The sequence below is a fragment of the Homo sapiens genome, chromosome 6, assembly GCF_000001405.40.
Source record: "Homo sapiens chromosome 6, GRCh38.p14 Primary Assembly".
NCBI classification, from domain to species: Eukaryota; Metazoa; Chordata; class Mammalia; order Primates; family Hominidae; genus Homo; species Homo sapiens.
The window spans coordinates 116,301,585-116,318,682 of NC_000006.12; the positions used below are offsets into that span (position 1 = coordinate 116,301,585).

General features: G+C 38.0%; 1 protein-coding gene across 11 annotated transcripts in view, besides 1 other annotated feature; it reads left to right on the top strand.

Moving 5' to 3' along the window:
* Positions 1-17,098, top strand: part of DSE (dermatan sulfate epimerase) — a 190,691-nt gene that overhangs the window by 47,414 nt on the left and 126,179 nt on the right. The gene's annotated exons all lie outside the window — the stretch shown is intronic.
* Positions 3,796-3,965: an enhancer, noted in NCBI's record as "experimental_88171 CRE fragment used in MPRA reporter constructs". NCBI's record gives its function as "activates a minimal promoter by MPRAs in K562 erythroleukemia cells, with activity observed for both the introgressed and non-introgressed 6:116626628 variant alleles {active_cell/tissue: K562}" and the evidence as "EXISTENCE:reporter gene assay evidence [ECO:0000049][PMID:34662402]".

Here is a 17,098-nt window from a genome sequence, read left to right on the forward strand (position 1 = left end):
ACATCCTTACTTAAACCGCCTCAATGGCTGAGTAGTACTCTTAGGATAAAAACCAGCATTTTTTTTAATACTTTAAGTTCTGGGGTACATGTGCAGAACGTGCAGGTTTGTTACATAGGTATACACATGCCATGGTGGTTTGCTACACCCATCAACCCGTCATCTGCTTTAGGTATTTCTCCTAATGCTCTCCCTCCGCTAGCTCCCCACCTTCTGGCAGGCTCCGGTGTGTGATGTTCCCCTCCCTGTGTCCATGTGTTATCACTGTTCAACTCCCACTTATGAGTGAGAACATGCGGTGTTTGGTTTTCTATTCCTGTGTTAGTTTGCGGAGAATGGTGGTTTCCAGCTTCATCCGTGTCCCTGCAAAGGACATGAAGCCATCCTTTTTTATGGCTGCATATTATTCCATGATGTATATGTGCCACATTTTCTTAATCCAGTCTATCATTGATGGGCATTTGAGTTGGTTCCAAGTCTTTGCTATTGAGAATAGTGCTGCAATAAACATACGAGTCCATGTGTCTTTATAGTAGAATGATTTGTAATCCTTTGGGTATATACCCAATAATGGGATTGCTGGGTCAAATGGTATTTCTGTTTCTCGATCCTTGAGGAATCGCCACACTGTCTTCCACAATGGTAGAACTAATTTACACTTCCACCAACAGTATAAAAGTATTCCTATTTCTCCACATCCTCTCCAGCATCTGTTGTTTCCTGACTTTTTAATGATCGCCATTCTAGCTGGCGTGAGGTGGTATCTCATTGTGGTTTTGATTTGCATTTCTCTAATGACCAGTGATGATGAGCTTTTTTTCATATGTTTGTTGGCTGCATAAATGTCTTCTTTTGAGAAGTGTCTGTTCATATCCTTTGCACACTTTTTGATGGGGTTGTTTGTTTTTTTCTTGTAAATTTGTTTAATTTAAGTTCCTTGTAGATTCTGGATATTAGCCCTTTGTCAGATGGATAGATTGCAAACATTTTCTCTCATTTTGTAGGTTGCCTATTCACTCTGATGATAGTTTCTTTGGCTGTGCATAGTTCTTTAGTTTAATTAGATCCTATTTGTCTATTTTAGCTTTTGTTGCAATTGCTTTTGGTGTTTTAGTCATGAAGTCTTTGCCCATGCCTATGTCCTGAATGGTATTGCCTAGGTTTTCTTCTAGGGTTTTTTATGGTTTTAGGTATTATGTTTAAGTCTTTAATCCATCTTGAATTAATTTTTGTATAAGGTGTAAGGAAGGGGTCCAGTTGCAGTTTTCTGCATATGGCTAGCCAGTTTACCCAACACCATTTATTAAATAGGGAATCCTGTCTCCATTTCTTGTTTTTGTCAGGTTTGTCAAAGATCAGATGATTGTAGATGTGTGGTATTATTTCCGAGGCCTCTGTTCTGTTCCACTGGTCTATATATATCTGTTTTGGTACCTGTACCATGCAAAATCAGCATTCTTTTATCTCATCCAATTCGTCCAATGTGCTCTCTCTTTCTCTTCTCTGGCCACAGTTACATCTTTCTTTTCTGCCTTTAGTACAAGTTCCTTCCTGCCTTGGCTTCTTTTTATGCTATTTGCTTTGCTTGAATTTCTCTTTACCTCCACCCCTCCCCTCAACTTTACCCTCTTTATCTCGCTACCTCCTTCTCGTCTTTCTCTTTTTCAACTCAAAAGTCACTTCCTTCAGGAAGACTTCTTGAATTTTTATACAAAGTTAGGCCCCTTCTGCCCCCTTACACACTCTTCTTGCACTCTGCAATCCCCATTTGCAGCACTTAATACAATTGTAGATATTTAATACCCTTTCCCCTGGTTAGATTGTAAGCTCAATGATGACACTAAATATGTCTGTTAATTACTGTATGTCAAGTACATAGTGTAGTTGAGGAAAAGGCATCTACAACATCTGGCATGTTGTAGATGATCGGTATATATATTTCTTCAATGAATAAATGAAGCAAGCAAATGACCAACTGGATGGCTGAATGGCTAACATGATTTCTTTTTCCACTTCCCCTTCCCCCAACAACTCAGGGCAGGAAAGCAAGAGACAGGTGACGATAGGGGTAGGGGAGGGCTGGTTGGGGAAGGATGCTGGTAGGCCCTATTCTTAAAAAGCAGTTACAATTCAGAAGGGCCATAGATAAAATAGCAAAAACCATATCCTGAAGAATGAAGACTTTGGATCAGAATGGTGAGCCAGTCCTGTAATGATTGCCTAGGGACAGAAACAAAGAGCCAAATATCCTGCAATAAGAAACAGTGGGGGCCCGGTGCGGTGGCTCATGCCTGTAATCCCAGCACTTTGGGAGGCCAAGGTGGGCAGATCACAAGGTCAGGAGATCGAGACCATCCTGGCTAATATGGTGAAACCCCGTCTGTACTAAAAATACAAAAAAACTAGCCGGGCATGGTGGCAGGCGCCCGTAGTCCCAGCTACTCAGGAGGCTGAGGCAGGAGAATGAGGTGGAGCCTGCAGTGAACCGAGGTTGCACCACTGCACTCCAGCCTGGGCGACAGAGCAAGACTCCGTCTCAAAAAAAAAAAAAAAGAAAGAAAAAAACAGAAACAGTGGGTCAGAGGAGGGGAAACGAAGGTCTCCTTAGTAGTTCCAGATACGAAGTGTCAAAGACTGGGGAAGCTTCTTTGAGCGCCACTCACATTTTCATGAGCAAAATATTCATTTAAAGGAATCAGTCTAGGTTGCAAAGTATTTAGCCCACTTTTCAAATACCTTTGCATATCTGAAATTTTTAGTCACATGAGTTTGAAATTCAGATTTTTTTGGATTTTAGACAGGAGATAGAGTGCCATCCCAGAATGCATTTACCGTGAATAAACTACCATCCCCAGTGGGTTCTGAGGCAGCATTTATTATCAAACACATTAGTAGCCATGTAGTGAAACATTGAATATTTACAGTGTGTGGGATGTGTAAACTATCAATAGCCTCACATCATTTCAGGTCAGGTTTTGCTGCCAAATGAGATACCAAAATGCTTTTTGCTTAGAAGAGCTTTTGGGGTTTGGAAATTCTGGTTGGGGGATTGTGGCACTGGTACAAAGCACTGTGTGCTTCTGGTGCCCTGTTAATTCTTGTTTGACTGATTCCCAGCACAGAGGAGGAGCTGCCCTGGTTGACTGACTCAGGGGTTCCTCAGTTCTTCAGGGAAATCCCCAGAGTCCCCCCAGCCCTCATCTGCCTAGAATGAAACTCTGCTACCCCTTGCCTTTTCCTTAGGCTACTGTGAGATGGTTGTCATTCTACTATCTTTATTAAATATTTGCTGTGTTCAGTTGGGAAATACAAAGATAAGCAGAAGCTGAGCTGTTTAGGTTTATCCTCCTTTAGGTAATCCATCTCTATCCTAGATATCTCACTTGAGCTCCATGACTTTTTTCCAGCTGCCTAGTACACAGATCCACTTAACATTCAAAATCAAAACTGGTCATCTCCTTCAACCTAGAATCAAACAAAAACAAAATCTGCTGTTTATCCTGTAGTCCTTGTCACTCCACTAAATGGTCCAAATTAGAATCAAACTTTCCTTTTTTTTTTTTTCTTTTTGCACATAACCTGCGCTAAATCCTGTTGGGTCTCCCACATAAGTGTCCTCCCTTCTCTCCCATCCTCTCCCATCCCAGTAGCATCTTAGCTGGTTTGATCTCCCAAGGCTCCTCCCTGCCCCTTATTTAATACTCTCTGTCATCTATCCATTTCTTTCTTGAAGACCTTAGTTATTTTTCAGTAATAAAGATTTTAAAACATATTGTTGCTTTAAAAGTTCTCACTATTAAAGAAAAGGTTAGTTTCCTGAAACAAAAAATAAAATAAAGACTCAGGAACTGTTCCAGATTGAAGGAGACAAAAGAAGCAAGAAAGTGAAATGCAATACATGGTCCTGGATTAGGTCCTATACAAGAAAAACAATTGACATAGTATACAGATCACTATTAAGGCAATTGACAAAATTGGAATAGATAAAATTATTACATCAGTGTTAATGTCCTGAGTTTGATAATTATACCGTAGCTATAGAGTATCCTTTTTTTTGTTTTTGTTTTTTTGAGTTGGAGTTTCGCTCTTGTTGCCCAGGCTGGAGTGCAATGGCGTAATCTTGGCTCACTGAAATCTCTGCCTCCCAGGTTCAAGCGATTCTCCTGCTTTAGCCCCCTGAGTAGCTGGGATTACAGTGTAGCATGTGCCACCACAGCCAGCTAATTTTTGTATTTTTAGTAGAGACAGCGTTTCACTATGTTGGTCAGGCTGGTCTTGAACTCCTGACCTCAGGTGATCCACCCACTTCAGCCTCCCAAAGTGCTGGGATTACAAGTGTGAGCCACCGTGCCTGGCATAGAGTATCTTTATTTCTGTAACATATACACTGAATTATTAAGAGATAAAGGGATTAATGTGTGAACCCATTCTCAACTAGTTTAGAAAAAAATGTATGTATGTACATGTGAGTATGTGTATGTGTGTATAGATACACATACACATCCATATCAGTATATAAATGATATATGCATATATATGTAAAAAGAGAACAATAAATATGGCAAGAGAGTAATGATTGGTAAATCTGGATAAAAACTACAAAGAAGTTCTTTGTACTATTCTTGCAACCTTTCTATAAGTTTAAAATTATTTCAACATAGAAACTTTTAAAAACTCAATTTTTAGATATTGAACTTATGTAACTGTTATCCAAACAACAGACTTTATTATAACATACATACACACACAGGTACATACACATACAATTTCATAAACTTCCCACTGCCCATAAAAAGAAATTTTAAGCTCATAAACATTATGCTCAGGGAGTTTCTACAATCAGGTCTCATCCTAATTTTCCTGCCTCACTTTTTGCTTTCTCTAAGGCACTCCTTACTCTATATATGCTGAAATGATTATGTTTGTTTCTCCTTCTGTGTTTTTGTTCCTGCTGTTTGCTCTATAAGGTAAGCCCTCCCAGCTCTTCCACTGGTTACCTCCTATGCCTGCTTTGAGACCAAGTTCAAATGTTGCTTCTATAATACCCTTCTCTACAGCACTAGGCAGATACAACTCTTCCCTCTTTTTGTGAACTGAATGTTGTGTTCCCCCAAAATTTATATGTTGAAGCCATAACTCTCAATGTGATACTCTTTAGAGATGGGGCCTTTGGGAGGAATTAGGGTTAGATGAAGTTATGGGGGCAGGACCCTAATGATGGGATTTGTGCCCTAAGAGCTCTCTTTGCCTTGGGAAGATACAACAAGAAGGCTGCCATCTACAAGCCAGAAAGGGAGCCCTCCCCAGGAGCCAAATTGACTAGCACCTTGATCTTGGACTTCCCAGCATCCAGAACTGTGAGAAAATACAAAAAACATTTCTGTTTTTTAATCTATTCAGTCTATGTTATTTTGTTAGGGCAGCATGAGCAGACTAATATACCTCCTCTGTGTATTCATACAACTTTACACAGAGGTAAAATATAGCAGTTAGAACTCTATCTTATATTGGGTTGTTGATGAATCTTTCACACAGGCATGTGAGTCCTGAGGACAGCAGCTATGTGTTTCATCTTTCTGTCCCTAACTCACTGCCTGACCCATGGAGACCTTAAGTCCAGGCTTGCTGAATGAATATGGCATAATCTGAACCTGACCACTCCAATCATTCATTAACCTTACTGTTTGGGTGTGGATTGATCATTACTTTTCTTGAATTTGTGACAAGATAATTTCAGCAGTTGACAGACAGCTAGTTTCTAGTCAAGCCGATGCATTGTATATGCTCCTACTTGCCTGTTCCTATGTCTTCAGTGATGGATTCAGTGACCTGAAGAGTGTATCTTAATAAAGAATTTTGAATGCATTTGGTTGAAAACATTCTGAAAAGAACCTTTTCTTCATACATTTTATATGGATATGAACTAGACAATAATGTATGCTTATAATAATTGAGAAGTTTTTAAAAATGAGATGCTGTTACTAATAAATTATGATTAATTCTTTCTCTAAAGGTAGTACGAAGTTAAACAATGGTAGGAATCTTGGTCTCTGTTTATTATCCTTACTCCAACTCATCTTTCATTACAAATAATTTTTTTATACAGTCCCCTCTCTACCCTCTTACACAGAGGCATTTCAGCAGATATTTTATTGAAAACAAAACACTGTGCAGCCCATGCTGCACAAGGAAAGAAGTGTGTACAAGATAATTCCAAAGGGCAATACATGTTTCTAGTTAAAAATTGGAGGGTCATGTAAATATGAACTGTTTAGTCAAGTTCAGGTAAAATTAGGAGGAATTACTGGAAAAGCGTGAACAGTGAATATATTCCTTAGTTCTAATTCTTTCAATAGTCATCTCTATCAACTCAGAGATTGCTTTTGCTTGTTTTCTTTGTTTTTTATTTCATTCTGTACAGGGCCTTGAACATTCAGTGACAATTTATGGTAACTGCAGAGTATACCATCACCATCCTGTGTTCTTTGGATAACCAGCTGGCCTAATTTTGAATGTCCTGAACCACATATTACTATAGCTCTGTGTTAACTATGTCATGGAGTGGATTTATTTCTCCTGTTGACTATTAGACAACCTGGTTGCTTCCACTTACTATTTATTCAACTAATACTGCCTGTTATATTGTATGTTGTAAGAGTTGGAGGCAAGTTGTTTCCTGGTAAGCATTAGACTCAGAAATTCTGGGAGTGTTTTTGTTTTGTTTTTAAGCTCGGCTTCAATCTTGTAAGAGATTTGTAAATCTCGTAAATGTATAAGGTAACATAGAACTTGATGTGACCTTGTTTACTCTTAGATATTTTGATATGAGCTGTTTAGACAGAAAATATTTGTTGATAAATATGAATGAAAACATAAGGAATATTGAACAGGAGGTTAAATGTCAAAGTATTATGACGATGGCCTGGCATAGTAGGTGGAATGAGGGCTTTTTAATGAGAAAGATCAGTGCCCACATTCTTGTTTTGTGACTTACTAGCTATATTTTTAAAGCAATTTACATAAACTCTTGAGCCTCAAGTATACCTTCTATAAAATGGTGATAATAACACCCATCTTTTGTTGCATTTTTTTGTTTTTTGGGGTTTTTTTTGAGATGGAGTCTCACTCTGTCACCCAGGCTGGAGTGCAGTGGCATGATCTCGGCTCACTGCAAGCTCCGCCTCCCGGGTTCATGCCATTCTCCTGCCTCAGCCTCCCAAGTAGCTGGGACTACAGGCGCCCACCACCATGCCCAGCTAATTTTTTGTGCTGGGATTACAGGTGTGAGCCACAGTGCCCGGCCTTGTTGCATTCTTTTGAAAATGAATAAAAACGGTATATAAATTATGAGTTACCGTGCCTTGAGCATAATAGATACTCATAATAGATATTCTAATAAATAGTGGCTCTTATGGTTAATGTTTTTTAAATCAAGAGGACAAATAAGATCAATTAAAATTTCTAATTGATTATTACTTTTACTAAAAGTTTTTATTTTGTTTAGAACAGCCATTAGTAAATTGAACTTATTATCTCATGATGTTTTTATGAGGAGCAAATTAAAGAAAATTAGAATCATCTGTTGTGCTAGATGACACATAGCACTCAATGTGCTCATTTTATTCCCCCCTCATCCTGTATACACACAACTCTACTTTTTAGGTGGATTTCTTCCAAGATGGTCTAGAAAATAATTTTTTAAAACTTAGTCATTATATATTTGGAATACACATACATACATACATACATACATACATACACACCACTCTAAAATGAAGAAGGTCAATTGCCTATTATCTATTGTCTAGCATGGGTTCTATTATTGCTCCTTTATATGTTTAACTATGATGGTATTAACTTTTGTTCATATATGGATGAGGATAGTATTTATGTATTAGTAGATATATCTGTTTTTAGTTATACATGAATTATTCATCTTTGCTTATATTAACCCAAATATAAAAATAACACAATAGTTATTGTCTGTTTGTGCTGCTACAACAAAATATCTGAGACTAGGTAATTTATAAAGAGCAGATACTTATTTCTAACAGTTCTGAAGGCTGGGAAGTCCAAGATCAAGGCACTAGCAGGTTGATTGTCCAGTGAAGACGTGGCCTTGAACCGCAAGATGGTTCAAGATGGTGCCTTGAACACCATGTTCTCCTGAAGGGAGGAATGCTGTGTCTTCATATGGCAGAAGGCAGAAGGACAAAAAGGGAGCAAACTCCCTCTATCAAGCCCTTTTATAAGGGCACCTAATCCAATTCATGAGGGCAAAGTCCTCATGACTCAATCACTTCTCAAAGCCCTCATCTTCCAGTACTGTTGTATTGAGGATTAAGTTTCCATATAAATTTTGGAAAGAAAAAAAAAAGAAGCATTTAAACCATAGCAGTCATGCACATAAGGAACATTCAAAATTTTGCCAACTATTAGAGTTTACTGAATATTTATTGTGGCCAGGTTTTCTGCTAGGCACCTCACATATATAATCTTATTTAATCCCTACAAATTCTTACAGGAAATTACTGTTTTACAGTTGAGGAAGCCACAGGTCAAAGTCTGGATCCTATGACTTGTAGGTAACTTTGGAACCCTACATTCTTTATTTGTTCCCCCTATTTCTCATCTCTTTTACTTAGTCCTTTTTTTCTCAGTCTCTACATGTGGAAGGGTGTGGCCGTGGTCCTCTGCTTTTCTCTGTGTATGCTCCCTCCTTAGGTTGTTGAACCTAATCAATTGATTTTTAAATATACTGATAAATCCTGGGTAGGCAAAATAATTCTTTTTTTTTTCAGTTGCTGGTGATATCTTCTGCTTATCCAGCCATTCACGATAATCTCCATCCAGATGCCTAACAGGTTTTCAACTCTTACTATGTCCTTCTTGACATCTTCCCCTGTAACCACTCACTGTACTCCTACTCCAGTTTTCCTCATCTTGGTCCACGGCTCCACAATTCATTCAGTTCAGGAAAAAAACCAAGGAGTCATCCTTCATTTCCCTCTTTTTCCTTTTTTTCTATGTTCAGTCTACCAACAACTCCTTTTGGCTCTGTCTTCAAAGTATATCCCAAATCTACACACTTTTCAGCATATTTATCATGTCCACCCTAGTATATGCCACCATCAAATCTCACCTGGTCTACAGCAAGACTCATATCCCTGGTTCCACTGATCCTCCTCATAGTCTCCTCTCTGCATACAGACAGAGCAAGCTTTCTAAACATAAAATGAGAACATGTAATTTTCTTTTTCAAAGGCCCTTCCTAATGGTTTCCCATTACACTTATAATGAATCAGAATGTCTTGTGTGGCCACAGGGTCTCTGGGCCCTGCCTTGCCTGTGTGTCCAGCCTCAACTTGTTTCCTAATATCTGGCTAGGTGTGCTCTGACCATTCTGCCTTCTTGCTGCGCTTCCAGTGTGCCATGCTCCTCCTCATCTCAGCTCTTCACACATGCTGCACTTCTGTCTGAAATGTACTTCCTCAGACTTTTGTATGGCTTGCTCTCACATCATTCATATTTTGCTCAAATGCCACCTCTTCAAAGGCTGTCTTTGACCAACATATCTAAAACAGCACCCACAGCTTTGCCCAAGGTCCTAGGAACACCTTGTCCTTCTTTAGTTTTTTTTACAGCATTTGTCACAATCCAAAGCTATATCCTCTTTATATACATGTTTGTTTTCATATCGCCTTTCTCTCCCACCAGAATATAAGCATCCTGAGGGCAGGAAGATGAACCACCTATTTCACTTCTGTATCTCTAATGCCCAGAACAATCAGTGAAATATAGTAGAAATAAAGAATAACACAAGGAAAGAAAGAAAATGAGTTGTTTCCAGTTCTGATTCTGTTTGATTCCACCAGGCTATGCTGACTCTTCATTGTGTGTAACGTTTTGCTTGTAACAACAAAAAATTGGCAGCAACCTACATGTCTTCAATAGAGGACTATTAATAAATCATGAAGCCTACATATAATAGAATAAAATGCACCAATAAAAAAGAATGAAGAGGATCAAGATGTACTAGCTCTGAAATAAAGTGAAAAGGCCTGTTGCAGAACATTGTGCTCCAACCTCTGCTTTCCTGCTCTGGGCCTTTGCACTTGCGATTCCTTGTGTATGGAATGCTCTTCTCCAGATCTTTCAGGTCTCTCTCAAATAGCACCTCCCAGAGAATGTTCCAAATGTTTAAAGTATCTTTTACCCTTTTCATTCACTAATCTCTTGGCTTGCTCTGTTCTTCTGCATGATAGTTATCACCATCCAAAATTACATTTACTTATATGTAAATGTAAAGCAGGGACTTGACAGTCTTATTTGCCGCTGCATTCCCAGGGCCTCCAACAGTGCCTGGAGTAAGATTGAAAAAAACAATGAGAAATAAAGAGAGAGATATATCTGGTTTTCCAATTAGGTTCTTTTGTATAAGAGAGTAGAAGTACCACCATATGCTACCCCTCATCTTTAAAAACTCAGTGTTAGGACCTTTGTGTTTTTAGGCAGATAGGGACCTTAGAGGTCATCTAGTCCAAGCTATGATTTTGCAAAAGAGTGGATTGAGAAGGGTGTTAGGTGATGTGTGGAGGTCCAGTGAATATGGAAGTCAGCGGTGACAGGATGACTTTTTATGCTTTTTGAGCTTTGAGTTATGTAATGTGCTACTTAATTTAAAAATAACCTCCATAAATATATTTTGAAAAATATCAGTGAGATGGTAGCCAGTTAAATAATTCAGACACAAGCACTCAAGGGTTTAGAGGAAGATAAGTTACTTTTAAGTCACTGTGGACACAGTCATTGATCAGAGCAGGCTTCCTGAAGGAGGACATCAGCTGGCCCTTGAAGAACAGAAGGGATTTAATGGTGAGGAAGCATAAGGAGCATTTCAGGAAAGCATTGCAGCAGTGAGCAGTTGGTGGAAGAGGTCCAGGTATAGGAGGGAGACCTTGAAGGAGAAACCTATAAGGGCTTAAGAAGAAATTAATGGTTACCCATAATATACTTAGCTCTGGAAATAGGAACTGGAACATCAGTCTGTAAATCCTTAGGGCCTGTAATGGAAAGACTTATTTTCTCAAAAAATATTGTTTTAAAGATATTATTATTTTCTCTATAGACAGATAATATAAGTGAAACAGTAGTTACACATTGTTATGGATTGAGTTGCGTAAAATATATATATTTTTATTTTTATTTCTATATATAAATATGTAGACCCTGGGAATGCAGTAGGAGATAAGACTGCCAAGTCCCTGCCTTACATTTACATATAAGTAAATGTAATTTGGGATGGTGATAACTACCATGCAGAAAAATAGAGCAAGGCAAGAGATTAATGAGTGAGGGATACAAATATATATGTATATAGAAGTCTTCTCTAGTACCTCAGAATGTGATCTTAGTTGGTGATACAGTCACTGCAGATATAATTACTTAAGATGAAGTCACACTGGAGAGATGGGCCTCTAATCCAATATGACTGGTATCCTTATAAGAAGATCCCATGTAAAGACAGAGCTAAACAGGAAGAACGCCATGTAAAGATTCAGGCTGCTATTGGAGTTATGCTCCTTAAGCCAAGGAATGCCTGGGTCTATCAGAAGCTGAAAGAGGCAAGGAAGGAACATCCCCTGTAGGCTTCAGAAGGAGCATGGCCCTGCCAATACCTTGAATTCTAACTTTTAGCTTCCAGAACTGTGAGACAATAAATTCCTGTTATTTTAAGCCATGCAGTTTATGATATTTTATTATGGCAGCCTTAGGAAACTAATACAGAAACTCTGCTTTTACAACACAATTTTGAAATGAAGCCAAACAGAAGAAAACCATCACTTGCTTTGTAACTGGGTTTATGGAACATTTGGTAAATTTGATTAGAACTTTGTTTTTGTTGATTTAGTAATAATGATTGGTTACATAATACCTATAAATGCAAGCATCATTAAATTCTTTTTGCATAAGTCCTTTATAAATTAATTGCAAGCATAGCTGGAGTAACTCCAGCCACAAACTAAGTGAATCACCATTAGAGTCACACATAGATCTTTTGTTTTCATTTTTGTATCTTAAAAGCTCAGTCTTCAACAGGCATTCTTTTTCTCTTATTTTAGTTACAGCATTAATTCCTATGTATGTTTAATCACATGATTAACAATCATTGGGTGAATCGGTTCATATAAGAATAAAGAACAGATTTTAACTTTTTTGGTTTTAAGTTCATGAACATGCCTATCATATTGTCATTTATTATGCCTATTTAAATGTAACAAGAGTTTTAGGACTCACTATGCCAATAATCTTGCTAACTTATGTCCTGAATCAGAAAGAAAATTCATAGAGAAATGAATTATATGTAAACTTAAACCACCTAGGCAGATAGCTGTTTTCTGTTGTTTTCAGAGAGAAAACCAACTTACATCAGGTTTACATTTTACTTATCTTTGTTTTCAAGCCTCTCAGCCACTGCCTTGATGGCTTCCTTTCCCCCATTTTTTTTTCTGTCAGTGCTGTCTCTTATATTAAACCAATATCTAATATTTTGTCTTTTGCTTTTCTGGTCCATGTGCTTTCACAATAAGGATAAGAGATTTTGCTTTGTTATCATATGGCAGGACTATAAATAGAGAAAATCATATTTTTAAAAATCATTTCTAGTATGGTTTGCAACATGTTTAAATTGATTGCTCCCCCTTCCTTTACTCAGCCTCAGACTTAATTCTTAATTAACTGTTTTTCTTTTTTCTTCTACTTGAGGGTCATGGGAAAAAGTTTGAGGTTAGTCACATCATATGGGTTTTAACCTTTATAGTTATCTTGTAACCCAAACAAACATTAGTCATTCTGATAAAGGGTTAGAAGAATAGTTTGGACATCTCATAGGACTTTGGCTCAGATAAGTTATTCCATTAATATATTTTCTCAAGAAAATGTCTTCATTTTTGCTTTCCTGACTTCTGGTCTCCTGTAAGTTTTCTAAGTTTCATCTGGCTCTAAAATGCTTTAAAATAATGCTCTGGACTAAATATATTTGGGGAAATGGTCAGATTTGCTTTATTCATCAGATAGTGTTATTTTGAGGGAAATTATTACATATTAAATTATGTCAAAGATTTATTTTATAGTTTCTTTTACATTTTTCCTTAGCCATTGCTTACTTATTCATGATATAAGTGGAGACCAGTAGATAACCCATTATGTGAACATTCTAGAAAGGTGTTTAAGGAGTTGGCTGGAGCTACAAGCAAAGTGAGTTTCTTTAGCCTTTTAACTTATCCACGCTCTCAGGGATGCTAAATAAAAGCTCCATTTAGCAATATTTGCTTCTGATGTGTGGCACCAGCAAGAGCTACATTCAGGTACAGGAATCTGTGTCCAGAGGTAGGCTCTGAACCCATTGTTTTACCATCTGTCTTCCAGCCCCAGAGTGAAATTCTTGTAGGAGGAAGTTGAGTGGGGAGAAATGGGGGAAGTCCTGGGCCTGATTCACCTCCTAACTCTTAGGGTTGCTTGGGCAGCTTCCTCCATCTCTCTAGAAATCAGTTTCTTCATCAGTACAATGAAGGAATAGCCACTAACACTTACTGAACATTATGTGCCAGGCACTGCTCCAAGTACTTTGCATGTAAAATTTGTTAAATCTTCAGAACTCTGTGAGGGTGAAAAATCAATACACACATACTCTCTCAATTCTCTCTGTCCTGCTTTTCCCTCCTATTGTCTCATCACCTTCTGAGATATATATATATATATATATTCTTTTGTATGCTTTATATTTTTGTTATTTTGTCAGTCTCCTTGCTTTAGAATGTAAATGTCATAAGGGCAGGAATTTCCATTTGTTTCATTTACTAGGGTATACCTCTAAAACAGAGCCTGGCAAGCAATAATTACAAAATCGATGTTGAATGAATGAAGTACATAGATTAAGTAATTTATTAATGTTCACCAAGATAGTAGTGGGGCAGAGTTGGGAATTGGTCCCAGGTTGTTTATCTCCAGATCCCATACTCTAAAGCACCGTGTTATACTGACTAAAATTAGGCAACCAATGGCTTCCAAGCCATGGTTCATCATGCTTGTTTCACATGAGAATCGTATGTGATGTTTTAAAAGCTACAAATGCGGGCTGGGCACGGTGGCTCACGCCTGTAATCCCAGCACTTTGGGAGGACGAGGCAGGCAGATGAAGAGGTCAGGAGTTCGAGACCAGCCTGACCAACATGGTGAAACCCCATCTATACTAAAAATACAAAAATTAGTGATGCATGCCTGTAATCCCAGCTACTCAGGAAGCTGAGGCAGTAGAATTGCTTGTACCCGGGAGGCAGAGGTTGCAGTCAGCAAAGATCGCACCACTGCACTCCAGCCTGGGTGACAGAACAAGATTCTGTCTAAAAAAAAACTACAGATGCCTGCTGCTTCCTACTCTTCCCCATTACATACTCTGAAGGAATTTAGTGAGTTTGGAGTCACAATATTTTGTCCTAAAATTCCCAAGTGAACTTAGTTTGCATCTAAACTGAGATAAACTTCAAAAACATAGCTTAAGTTTATCTCAATAACACCTTTAATTTTATAAATCTTTAAAATGTATTCTAAAAGGAGTTCAGATTGAACCTTTTGTTTAAAGGGGCAGATGGAAGATAGTAGGAGCAGAGCTTCCTTCTGACATTGATTCATGGTTGGGTTTATGGTTGAGTTCATGGATCTTTCTATAATGATTTTCCAGCTGATTCTAAATGTTAAGTAGGACTGGCCTGTGACTGATATCTACAGACCTTACTATAGACTGGCAGTAAACTCATAATAATCTATATGATTTAAAATCAGTTGTTTAACCACAGTATAATTTCAAGACTATACTTCCCTTTCAGACATTGGTATTTAACAAGTGGATAGTCTAAACCTACCCTGGGACTGGACCTTGGGAGCTAGTTCCAGTTTTCAATTAATGAACCACATTATACTAGATGAATAAGATTTAAATAATTTTGTCAAAGCGTTATCCCCTCAACTCATGAAATAACCTTTACTAGGACAATAATGGGACTTGGTGCGGAATGACCTGAAATGACAGCTAGTCCAGAAAGATTGGTATTTGGTTGTGCTGTAGATGACTTCCTTATCCTGAAACTAATTACAGAAAGGAAGATATTTAACAAATGCCTTGGAAATTGATTAAGCTTCTTCTTCTTTTTGCTTATTTCTTCTTCTACTACTACTACTACTACTATTATTATTATTATTATTATTATTACTGCTACTACTACTACTTTTAATGTGCTGTGCAGGTACCTTAGCTCATTTACTACTAGAAATTTTGTGAGCTTATGTTAGCCTGGATTATCCAAGAAGCAGATGCTGATTCAGCATTAAATGTGCAAGAAATTTAGTAGGGTAAATTCCTGTGAGAAAAAAAATGTGAAGGGATCCCAGAGAGGCTGGAAGAGCCCTTAATGCAAGTCTGACCCTGAGGAAAAGATAGAAAGAGAAGGGGAAGAATGGTGTAAGCATTTCAGACTGCTGTTCAGTTCCATGAAAACTTAGCAAGGCTGTTGGGGAATCCTCAAGCCAAAGCCAACTATTAGAGGAGTCACTCATCTCATGGGATTGGGCCTGCCTTTGTATTTCTGTTGTACAGTCATTGGCCGGGAGCAGCCTGTGGGAGAATGTGGACCTCAGTGGATTTCAGAACAGAGCAGCTGGGGCTTTCAGCCAATTCTGCCCCCTGCAGTCAAAATCTAGGAGGCATATTGTTATGGCCAATATTCTCATATTTAGACATGATGTTCTAGAGATTCCGGGAAGTTACTCTTGGATATGTGTCCAAGATGTGTCCTTTCCAGAATAATTTCTCTTTACACATTCTTTAACCTGGTTATTATCAGTCTTGTGCTGAACTCTCTAACCCATGTGGATAATTTTTAGTAAGGATGCTTAGTAATTTAAAAACATAAAATCCATGCTGCTAGTCTCTAAATCTTCTACGAAAAGTTTAATGCTAAACAAAAGGGGTGTGTGTGTTGTTTGTATCATGTATATGTACATACAAATACACACATACACATAGTATTGAGAAACATAAACTTATTCAACTGGTTATTATAGACCATGAAAGGAATTGTATTGCCGTATCTAAACAAAGTGTGCAATTGTTTGGGTTTATGTACTCTGTGCTTATGAGTGTTGTGAATTTGTCACTTGGGCTTTCACCTCAGAACAAGTCCTTTTTTATTTCTACCTCTTGAAATAATAGTTGTTCACTCAAAGCTCAGAGGTGGTAGAAACTGGTAGCAGATATCAGGAAAACAAGAATAATTGTCATTTACTATTATTGGTCAGTTTGGTTCTTTATTATTTCCTTGGAAATTATACACAATCAGAACAACTACTTGAGGGTTTTTTAAACCTCAAATAGTATAAAAATAGCATTTTATCCTAATCAAAGCAAGTTTTATTCAGTGTTTTTCTATGATCGAACAAGGAGTGGACAAATATATATTGAGCACTTGCTGTATGACATGCTGAGGCATTCGACATTCATGATTTCATTTCTTGTAGCATTATAATTATTATGCTTCACAACAAGCCAATGGGCTAGGTGTCATTATGCACATTTGAAAAGTAGGGGCCAGTCGTGGTGGCTCACCCCTGTAATCCCAACACTTTGGGAGGCCAAGGCAGGCAGATCACAAGGTCAAGAGATCGAGACCATCCTGGCTAACACAGTGAAACCCCGTCTCTACTAAAAATACAAAAAATTAACCAGGCATAGTGGTGGGTGCCTGTAGTCCCAGCTACTTGGGAGGCTGAGGCAGGAGAATGGCATGAACCCGGGCCAAGCTTGCAGTGAGCCGAGATGCACCACTGCGCTCCAGGCTGGGCAACAGAGTGAGATTCCATCTCAAAAGAAAAAAAAAAAAGAAAGAGAAGAAGACTGAAAAAGCAAAACTAAAACTAACTTGCCCCATGGCTCTCAACTAGTAAGTGGCAAAACTAGCAACTTTACAACTATCTGACTGATATCAAAGCTCCAGTTTGTGTTTCTCAGCTATACGTGTCTTTTTAAAAATGAAGGAAATTAAAT